The 12,007-nt window shown below is 35.0% G+C and overlaps 1 long non-coding RNA gene across 1 annotated transcript in view; it reads left to right on the top strand.

Annotated features, from left to right (window-relative positions):
• SLC17A6-DT (SLC17A6 divergent transcript) overlaps positions 1–12,007 on the top strand; it is a 54,493-nt gene that overhangs the window by 23,248 nt on the left and 19,238 nt on the right. The window contains exons 2-3 of the long non-coding RNA NR_186351.1: positions 7,601–7,738; positions 9,168–9,318. This is a non-coding gene — a long non-coding RNA (SLC17A6 divergent transcript). The remainder of the gene's footprint in view (positions 1–7,600; positions 7,739–9,167; positions 9,319–12,007) is intronic.

Below are 12,007 nucleotides of genomic sequence, written 5' to 3'. Positions count from 1 at the left end.
CAACAGAAGGACAATATGGATGAGCAAAGAATGCCCGTCCTGTTCAAGTTAAACTAAAGGATTTCACCTCCTTTCCCTACCAAAGGCAGTACCCCCTTAGACCCGAGGCCCAACAAGGACTCCAAAAGATTGCTAAGGACCTAAAATCCAAGGCCTAGTAAAACCATGCAGTAGCCCCTGCAATACTCCAATTTTAGGAGTACAGAGACCCAATGGAGAGTGGAGGTTAGTGCAAGATCTCAGGATTATCAATGAGGCCATTGTCCCTCTATACTCAGCTGTACCTAACCCTTATACTCTGCTTTCCCAAATACCAGAGGAAGCAGAGTGGTTTACAGTCCTGGACCTTAAGGATGACTTTTTCTGCATCCCTGTACATCCTGACTCTCAATTCTTGTTTTCCTTTGAAGATCCTTCGAACCCAATGTCTGAACTCACCTGGACTGTTTTACCCCAAGGGTTCAGGGATAGCCCCCATCTATTTGGCCAGGCATTAGCCCAAGACTTGAGTCAATTCTCATACCTGGACACTTTTGTCCATCGGTACGTGGATGATTTACTTTTAGCTGCCAATTCAGAAACCTTGTGCCATCCAGCCACCCAAGTGCTCTTAAATTTCCTTGCTACCTGTGGCTACAAGGTTTCCAAACCAAAGGCTCAGCTCTGCTCACAGCAGGTTAAATACTTAGGGCTAAAATTATCCAAAGGCACCAGGGCCCTCAGTGAGGAACATATCTAGCCTATACTGGCTTATCCTCATCCCAAAACCCTAAAGCAACTAAGAAGATTCCTTGGCATAACAGGTTTCTGCCGAATATGGATTCCCAGGTACGATGAAATAGCCAGACCATTATACACACTAATTAAGGAAACTCAGAAAGCCAATACTCATTTAGTAAAATGGACACCTGAAGCAGAAGTGGCTTTCCAGGCCCTAAAGAAGGCCGTAACCCAAGCCCCAGTGTTAAGCTTGCCAACAGGACAAGACTTTTCTTTATATGTCACAGAAAAAACAGGAATAGCTCTAGGAGTCCTTACACAGATCCGAGGGATGAGCTTGCAATCAGTGGCATACCTAAGTAAGGAAATTGATGTAGTGGCAAAGGGTTGGCCTCTTTGTCTACAGGTAGTGGTGGCAGTAGCAGTCTTAGTATCTGAAGCAGTTAAAATAATACAGGGAAGAGATCTTACTGTGTGGACATCTCATGATGTGAATGGCATATTCACTGCTAAAGGAGACTTGTGGCTGTCAGAGAACTGTGAGGAAAGTAACTAAAATCGTAAAACCCCATGGCCCTCCCTTATCATATTTTTCTCTTTACTGTTCTCTTACCCTCTTTCACTCTCACTGCACCCGCTCCATGCCGCTGTACGACCAGTAGCTCCCCTTACCAATAGTTTCTATGGAGAATGCGGCTTCCTGGAAATATTGATGCCCCATCATATAGGAGTTTATCTAAGGGAAACCCCACCTTCACTGCCCACACCCATATGCCCCACAAATGCTGTAACTCTGCCACTCTTTGCATGCATGCAAATACTCATTATTGGACAGGGAAAATGATTAATCCTAGTTGTCCTTGAGGACTTGGAGCCACTGTCTGTTGGACTTAACTTCACTCATACCGGTATGTCTGATGGGGGTGGAGTTCAAGATGAGGCAAGAGAAAAACACGTAAAGGAAGTAATCTCCCAACTGACCGTGGTACATAGCACCCCTAACCCCTACAAAGGACTAGATCTCTCAAAACTACATGAAACCCTCCATACCCATACTCACCTGGTAAGCCTATTTAATACTACCCTCACTCCCTCACTGGGCTCCATGAGGTCTTGGCCTAAATCCCTACTAACTGTTGGATGTACCTCCCCCTGCACTTCAGGCCGTACATTTCAATCCCTGTACCTGAACTTCAGCACAGAAATAAGCACCACTTCCGTTTTAGTAATACCTCTTGTCTCCAATCTGGAAATAACCCATACCTCAAACCTCACCTGTGTAAAATTTAGCAATACTATAGACACAACCAACTCCCAATGCATCAGGTGGGTAACTCCTCCCACACAAATAGTCTGCCTACCCTCAGGAATATTTTTTGTCTGTGGTACTTCAGCCTATCATTGTTTGAATGGCTCTTCAGAATCTACGTGCTTCCTCAATCATCTCCCACCAGGTTCCTCCCATGACAGGTGGGAATTGTGGGAGTTAAAATTCAAGATGAGATATGGGTGGGGACACAGCCAATTCCTGTCAGTGAAGTTCTTAACATAGTGCCCAGCACATAATCATAATGTAGATTTTCTCCTCCTGATCCCACTTAACTTAGGCTGGGAGTTTCTAAAAAAGGCTTATGTTTTGCCCAAGTAGAAGTCTAGAAGGAATATTCTTAGAAACATTTCTGACAAATAGAGTGGCAATAACAGACTCAAACATTCTGAGTCTGGAGATGAAGAAAGTTTTCTGGAATAGGATATGATATCCCTTAAAACAACCTGTTCTAGCAGAAGATAATATTAGAACTTTGTCAAAGACTTTTTTCTTTAGAAATGTCTCCAATGAAGAAATTCATGTAGGTGGACATGTGGTGAAAAATGTAGCATAGTAGTTAAGAACAAGTTTCACTTCATCCTGAGTCCAAATTCTGTTTCTGAAATTTTCAACAATACCTGGGTAGATGATTTTACCTCTCTGGCTAAATTTCCCTCTTCAATCAATGGGATAATAATACATGAAATACAGGGATAATGTATGGATGAAATATGATGTTTATGATGTAGCCAACATATCTTGAGACTTCTCAGCCTCTCTAATTGTGTGAACCAATTCCCCATATATATTTTTTCTCTCTCTCTCTCTCTCTCTCTCTCTCTCTCTCTCTCTCTCTCTCTCTCTCTTTCCACTCTCTCCTCTTTCTCTCTCTCTCTCCTCTCTCTCCTCTCTCTCTCTCCCCTTCTACTGGATCTACCTCTCTGGAGAAACTTTATTAATATGGTGTATTTGAAACAGCAAGCATTATTAAGTTTGATAAAGTTAAATTTACCATTTTCTTTAATGATTTGGGTTCTTTTAATGTGTGTGACCTCTCTAGGAAATTTTTATGCAGCCAAAGATGCAAAGATTTTCTCGTGTGCTTTTACTTCTGAAAGTTCAAGCTTTAACTCTTAAATTTGGCGTCATATATTTCAACTTACTTTTTGTATAAAGTGTAAGGATTGAGACTCATTTGTTTCCATGTGAATATCCCATTATTGTAGCAGTTTGTTTAATAATGTATCATTTCCCTATTGAATTTTTTTGACACTTTTATAGAAATAGATACACCATTTAAGTATAGGTCTATTTTTTTGTCTCCACGTCCTGTTCTATTTATTTATATGTCTGTCTTTATGCCAACATCACACTGTGTTTCTTACTGAAGTTATACTTTAAGTCCTGATATCAGGTAGTGCAAAGTTCATCATAATTTAGTTTTCCTAGGCCCTTAAATATAAGCTTAAGAATGAGTTTGTTAGTTTCTAAAAACAAAGCAAAACACACTAAAACAGCCTTCCAGACTTTTCACTGGTTACATAATAAATCTATCGATCAATTTGGGAAGAATTAACATTCTGTCAATTTTGACTCTCCCAACCTGTAAATATAGTATATCTTACTCATTTATGTATGTTATTCTTAATTTTACCAGCAATATTTGGTAGTTTTCAGTTTACAGGTCTTACCCATATTTTATTATGTATCTCTAAGTATTTCATGTTACACTGCTATTTTAAATGAAATTGATTTCTGTATACCAATGTTTCTTACCATTTGAGTAGATCTAAGCTTCCATCTGGTAGAAGTTTTTGTTTTGTTTTTATTTTTTCAGTATGTGGCACTTTAACTTTTCTCATAGTGCAGGTCTGCTGACAAAAGTTTATTTTTAAAGTATTCATTGCATATTTTTGTATTGTAGAAGTTCTCTTTTATTTCTAGTTTGCTGAGCATTTTTACCAGGAGTGGGTGTTGAATTTTTGTCATAGATATTTTTTCTCCCGGATCTTAATTAATATAATCACGTAGTTTTTCTCCCTTATCCTTTAAGTATTGCTAATTTCATTGATTAAATATTGAATATAAAATCAACCTCACACTTTGGGATAAATCTCTTTTAGGGATGATATATTATAATATGTGGATGTTGCTGATAAGAATTTTTGTTTCTATGTTAATGAAGGATGTAAGCCTGTACTTCTATGTTTTTGTAATATTATCTTTTAGTTTTGGTATGAGAGTAACACCATATTTTATGGACTTACAAAATAAGTTGGAAACTATTCCCTCTTTTATTTTCTGAGACAGTGTATATAAGACTATTATATCTTGCTTTATGATTGATGGACGTCACCAATGAAACCATCTGGGCTTCTAATTTTCTTTGTGGGGAGAATTTAGATTACAAAATCAATGTTTTTAATAGATTATAAACTATTACAACTTTCTATATGTGTTTTTGTGCAAGTTTTGGAATTTGTGTTTTTAAGTGCTTTAATAATTTCATCTAGGGCTGGGAGCGGTGCCTTACGCCTGTAATCCCAGCACTTTTGGGAGGCTGAGGGGGCAGATCACGAGGTCAGGAGATCGAGACCATCCTGGCTAACATGGTGAAACCCCATCTGTAAGAAAAATACAAAAAGTTAGCCGGGCATGGTGGCGGGCGCCTGTAGTCCCAGCTACTTGGGAGGCTGAGGCAGAAGAATGTCATGAACCCAGGAGGCAGAGCTTGCAGTGAGCCGAGATCGCGCCACTGCACTCCAGCCTGGGTGACAGAGCAAGACTCCGTCTCAAAAAAAAAAAAAAAAAATTTCATCTAAATTCATAAATTTATCATTACAAATTTTTCATATTTTCTTAATATCTTTTAAATATTGTTGACACTTTTGTAAAAATCAATACATCTTTTTGAAACTGTAATGATATTCCCTTCTTTGTTTCTGATACAAGCAATTTAATGCCTTCTCTCCTTTTTTTCCATTAATCTTTCTGATGGGAAGGGTATCAATTTTATTGATCATTTAAAAGAACCAGTTTTTAATCTGAATGATTTTCCCAATTGTTTGCCCATTGTATATTTTATTGACTCCTCTTTATTATTTAATTCCACTTATCTTGGGATTAATTTAATTTCTTCTACACCTCAAGAAGAAACCGTAAGTCATTGATTTGTGTCTTCTTTTCCAATGTAAGTAATTAAAGCTATAAATTTTACCTCAGCCATTTCTCTAACCATACCCCACAAATTTAATTATGTTGTGTTTTCATTGGCTTTCAGTTCAACATATTTTAAATTTTGTTTTGAGTCATAGGTAATTTAAAAGTGTGTTAATTTTCAAATTTGTTGGAATTTTCTAGATTTTTTGTAATATACATTATTCAATTATATTATAACCAGACTGTTTTGTATAATTTTAATTATTTTAAATTTATTAAGACTATTAAGACTATTTGATGGCCCAGAATACAGTTTATCTTAGTAAACAATCCACATATTCTTCAAAAAAATTAGGTTTCTGCCCTTTTAATTACAGTGATATAATAGAAATTAAACCAGCTGATAGTATTTTTCAAGTTTTCTATGTCTTAACTGATTTTTTATATACTTGTTCTATAAATTACTGAGATACAAGTATTAACAACTTCAACTATAAATCTCTCATTTTTGTTTTAGTTCTATGTATTTTTGCTTTAAAAACTTTGAAACTCTGTTATTAGGTACACATGCATTTAAGTCTTCTTGATCAGGACTTCCAGTTATGGATTCTTGATGTACTAGGGATCTATATTCATGTGAACACCACCACAGTTAAAATATAAAACAGTTGCCTAATAAAGATTCCTCATGTCCTCCTTTTATAGGTACAACCTATCTCCATATCCTTCACAGCCACCAATCTTTTCTCTATCCTTATAATTTTATAATTTCAATACTATGATATAAATAGAATCAAACGGTATCTAACTTTTGAAGGCTGGATTATTTTACTCAACCCAGTTTACTTGAGGTCCATTCAAGCTGTTGCTGGTGTATCAATAGCAGTTCCTTTTTTACTGCTGAGTAGTATTCCACTGTGTGGATGTACCACGTTTGCCTACCCATTCACACATGAATGATATTTGGGTTTTTTCCACTATGGGGCTAATATGAATAAAGCTGGTATGAACATTCATGTACTAGTTTTGTGAAAAAGTTTAAGTGGTTTTTTTCTTGCATAAATGTTCAAGTATGCAATTGCTGAGTTTTATGGTAAATAAATGATTTATTTTATAAGAAACTGAAAAACTGTTTTCCTGAATATATATACCATTTTAGATATTCAGTAACAATCAGAATGATCCAGTTTCTTTACATCTTCACCAGTGTTTGGTGTTATTACTATTTTTTATTTTAGCTATTCTGATGGGTGTGTTGTGATGTGTCATTGTGGTTTTAATTCACATTTATCTAATGATGAATGATGCTGAACATCTTTTCATGTGCTTATTTGTCATCTGTACACTCCCTTAAGCAAAATGTCTTTTTCCCACTCACTAATGGAATTGTTCTTTTCTTTTTTGACTGTAGCTTTGAGAGATTTTTATATTCTATATATAAGTACTTTGTAGAATATCTGGTTTACAAATATTTTTGCCCAATATATAGCTTGTCTTTTCATCTTCTTTACAAGGTCTTTCATAGAACAAAATCTTTTAATTTTGATGCAGCCTAATTTATTCAACCTTTCTTTTGCAGATCATGGTTTTGTTGTAAGGTTTAACACTAATTTTTCTAATCTTAGGTTCTGAAAATTTTCTCCTATTTTTTATTTAATAGTTTTATGTTTTATTCAGGCAAGGCTTTTTTTTCTTTTGCCTATGGATGTCAAAATGTTCCAGCACCATTTATTGAAAAAGCTATCCTTCCTCTATCTACTTGCTTGGTACCATTTTCAAAAATCATTTGGACATATTTATGTGTGTCTAGTTCTGGATTATTGATTATATTTCTTTAATATATGTTTTTATTCTTCTGCCAATATCATGCTGTCTTGATTACTGCAGCTGTCTTTTAAGCCTTAACTTGAAGCAAAGTTTAATGGTTTTATCTCTTCTAGCTCCTGAGCATTTCCATATAAATGTTAAAACAAACTTATCTATGTCAGCATAAAAAAAATGCTATTTTTTGCTTAACAATTTAATAAACATGATGTTACCAATATAGTGGACGAATATAATGTTCTGTGTTTTACAAGATGATCAACATACTTCAGACTAGATTGTGGCAGAGAATTTAAGAACTTATAGAGCTGTAAGTGAGGTAAAAGATACACTCTTGTTATCTTTCTAGATTATATATAATAAAATGTATATTTATTGTACATTTTTTAAAAGCCAACTTGGTTGAGGTGTTCTGTTGTTTGTAACTTAAAAAGTCCTCTTTAATGAATAAGATGAATGTTGGAGTAAGACTAACTCGGATTAAATTCTTGCTCTGACATGAATTACATAACTTTGAGCGGAATACTAAATATCTTGTGCCTTAGTGATTTTGAGCATGAAATAATAATAATTAAACCTATCTTATAGATTTCTTCAGAAGATGAAATAGATCATCTGCCTTAAGGTTCTGGACCAGTGTATGCAACACAATAAACGTTCAGGAAATGGTTGCTATGATGATGACGACGATGATTATGACAACAATGATGATGATGAAATGAGTTGGTAAGTTATGCCATCGAATTGGTTCTTGAGATTTCTAGTTTCCAAAGCCAAGAGAAAATCATGTTTCCAAGATTCCATAGCAGCCCCACAAAGGCTGTGACATTAATTTTTAGTTTAAAAATACTTTGGAACGGACCATACACAGAAATTACTAAAAAGCTTAATAGCTTAATAGTCTATGATTTCAACAATAGTTTTAGAGCAAGGCAGTGCAAATTTAACTGGGATATTTTTAGTTTTCAAATTTAAAATTGTAACTCAGTTAAGGTATCACTTCAAGGCATTCACCTAATGTGATCTAAATATGTGAGTTCATTCTAGAGAAATATTTGAATTTTATAACATTTTGGCTAATTTTCAATATATATTTGTATCACCTAGCCTTTAAAAATGAATCTATTATATACTTCTTGTAATAAAATTGAAACAACAACTAATTTCAGAAAATGAATAATGGAGGTACCTCCATCCTACTCTGTAGAAGCCACTGTTGATATGTTAGTGTGTATTCTTATTAAACTTCTTTTAAGTTCATACAGACACTGATATATATATTTACATACATATAGAGAACAATATTTTGAAAATTATTTGTGTACTTTTCCATATTTCTAAGTATGCAATATTTAACTTAGTCAGAGTAAGATGTTTGTCTAGTCAGGGTAATTAAAATTTATTCAAAAAAGAATTTAAAGACAAAGTATAAGGTAATATTCAGTTTCAAGGACACAAGATGCAGTTTATAGGACTTTAATAATCATAAAATAAAGGCATTATATATAGTAAAAGGATAGGTATCTAATACATTTATTTGGTTTCTTAAATGATTAAACATAGATTTACCATTTGACCCAGAAATTCCACTCCTTGGTATATAGCCAAAAGAAATGAAAACTATGTCCACAAAAGACCTTGTTCATGAATGTTTAAATCAGCATTATTCTTCATAGCCAAAAGGCTTTAAATGGGTGAATTCTATGGAATGTATTTACATCTCCACAGGCTTTTAAAAAAATAAATTCATTCAGCTTCCATTTAACAAATCAAGAGCTAAGCCTAGAGAAATCACCCATAGAGTTCTTCCAGTGTATAGTTGAAGTCAATCTTGGTTTGGTATTTAAATCCTAAGTAAGACTGGATGTAGAACTGGGAAGAAACAAGGTATAACACAGTAGAAAGATGTCTCACTGCTTGTACTGATAGAGGATAGTGATAATAAAGGTGAAGTCAGAAGCAGAATGGCATATTGATAAGACATAGATCTCTAAAATTAGATTATAAATTAAATTAGATCATATATTGCTGCTAAATTCGTTGTAAAAAATACTTCCTGTTTTCTGAGGTTTTGAAGTTCAGAATAAGGCAAAAATAAATGCTTTAATTATTGAGCAGTAGGAGAAACAAATTTTTTTCCCTTTCCTCTTTCTAGGCTTCAGCCCAGAGCAGAATATGTTCCCTAATAAAGTATGAGGATGTCAGCACATGCCATTTGTGTCCCACCCAAAGCTGCAAACTTACTTAAAGTTTATCTGTAGCTTCAGGGGACAATTTCCATAATGACTGATGGCATTTTACCCTGGGTATGTACTTACATCTTTTTACCTTAATGATTTTTTTCTAGCCATGGGAATGTACTTGGCTGGTTGGGACATCTTGGACTGCTGAGGACTTATCGTTCCTAGAATCAACCCTCAATCTATGAGGGGGAGCAGTAGATAAAATCCCCATCTTGCTCTTCTCTTCTGTGTGAAACTTCTGAGCTTTATTTCAAAGTCTTTCAAAGGGCTTCTCAGTGGGACATACCTCTGGTTTCCCACAGTGATAACCCACTGATAAACACTTGCTTTATTCCTTTTCTCACTTGCTCATTCCCTAGAATCATATCCTAAATACAGCACTTCACCCACATACTTATTGCACTTTCTACAACAAGCAGGGGAACACTGAAAGCAGGGAGGTAGTTGCCCAGCTTTCCAGCTGGGGTATCCAGTAGGAAACCAGAAGTTGTACAGAGGACTCCACATAAATATGGGTCAGCTCAGCGTAACGCAAGGAGGAGTGGGTGGGTACAATCAGATAAAAATATATAGTTGTCCTCCTCAAGCCTCCCTCAATTTTTTGTGTTCAGTGGACCCTAAGCTGAGAATCTGTGAAACTGCCATTGAATGCAGTGTGGAAGAGTGAAGGCACTATCTAGAGAAGCTGATAGCAGAACACTGGACCAGGGTATGTATGAGGCACATAGCATAAACCCAGGAGATTTTAGCTAGCAAAACCTAAGGAGAGTAGATTTGGCAAGAGGAATATAGTTGCCTTTCTCGAAAAGTATTATCCAAGTAAAAAGAATATACTACAGATTTATTTGCCATAGGCTGCCAGTAAGGTTCTCAGTGACCAGACCTACAAGGGCTATTTTGCCCAAATAACAGTGGCGGCCTGCACCTGCAGCTTGTACACAGTCCATTTTCATAAACCAGAGGCCCATCTTTTCCCATGCCATTTTCCTCCTATTAACAAACTGGGACACCATATTTGCCACAGAAGCATGAGGGGGATGCAGGTTCTTCAAGAAACTAAGCACTTTCATTTAGGAATTACCGAAAACCACCTAAAGGGACTATTCATTTCTTTGGATCCAATCAAGTTGGAAACCTTAAGAACTTTTAAAATTGTATTTCCCCATACTGACCAGCAGGTGGCAATCAAGATAAGAGTTAAAACATTTTTGCCGCTGATGTGAGTTTCTAGTGTGAGTTAAATTGGGAATTCAACTGTACACAAATGAGATTACACTATCTCTACAGTTTTGTAGCTAGTTATTAACTCGACAAATATAGTAGAATACTTATGTTAATTTTAATGAATGGATTGTGTTATATCCCATAATATTATTTTTAAAACTAATTATTGTTAGGTTATTTCCTATATTTGCCTATTACAAACAACACTGCAATGAATAAAATATACTTGGACTATCAACCTTCTACCCACACCTTTATATCTACAATTTACAAATTTGAGTATTTGTGTAATGTAGATTTCTAGAATGAAATTGCTGGTCAGATGTATGCAGTTTTTGTGCTCTTTTTAAAAACTCTTTATTGTAAAAAAATTCAAACACATACAAAAGGGGAAAGAATAGCATTTAAAATCTATTTACTGAATAGATACAGTAAGGAGGTTTACTAAAATCTCCTTACTGACCTTCAACAAATATGAACAGCTTGTAATCTTATTTTATTTATCCCCTCTGATTTCACCTCCCCACCCCCAAAATTATCCAGGATAATTTTGAAGGAAATCCCAGGCATCATGTCATTTCACCTGCAAATATTTAGGGTGTATATTTAAAAGATGTGTGCTCTCAAAGTCGTGGCCATTAATACCATTATTATACCTAACATTAAAAATAATTCATCATTCATTTTGAAGTAAACACTAGATAGTCATGGCTCAAATATGTTTTCCTCCTAATTTTTCTACTGCTGTTCAGCTTTCTCTTCCTCCTTTCTTTGTCTTCCTCTCTTTTCTCTCCTCCTTCTCCTCCTGCTTCCGAACCTCCTATTCTTCCTCCTTTTCCTCTTCCTTCCTTTCTTGAAGTTTGCTCAAATCAGGATCTAAAGAAGATGCATACATGAGTGATAGGTTTCTTAAGTTTTTGTTGTAGTTGTTGTTTTTCATACATTTCCCTCCACCTCTTTTCTTTCTGCTGGTAATTTATTTGCGAAAGAAAGCCAGTTATTGGTCCTATGGAGGTTTTTTAGTCTAGATTTTTGTGGCTCCATCATGTTTAATAAGTTCCTCCAACCCCTGTATTCCACGTAAATTGCTAGATATAGATACAAATAACAGTTTTGTTGATTGCTTTATGAGTTATACATATTTTCTTTTTTTAACCTATATTTTTCTGGCTACAACATCCATGTGGAATAAAAAGGGTAATTGTGTGATTTTTTTTAAACCAAATTTTTATTTTAAAAATTTTCAAAAGTACAAAAGCTTGAAAATAGTATAACTAAATGTCAGTGTACTCACTACTTAGATTAAATAGTTTTTAATAATTTGAGTCATTTTCTTTTATCTCTTTACTACGTAATTGAGGAGTCATTTGACATTAAGTTTTAGACATCATGTCACTTTGCCTTACCTACTTCAATGTGCGTCTTTTAAGAATAATGGTATTATTCCTATTTAACCAAAATACCTTTATCAGAATTAACAGTGAGGAATACTGTCTCATAATCCATGTTCACATTTCTCCAATTGTCC

Source organism: Homo sapiens, chromosome 11, assembly GCF_000001405.40.
Source record: "Homo sapiens chromosome 11, GRCh38.p14 Primary Assembly".
NCBI classification, from domain to species: domain Eukaryota; kingdom Metazoa; phylum Chordata; class Mammalia; order Primates; family Hominidae; genus Homo; species Homo sapiens.
Note: the sequence above shows the minus strand (reverse complement) of the source record. Positions and strands in the feature narration are given on the sequence as shown.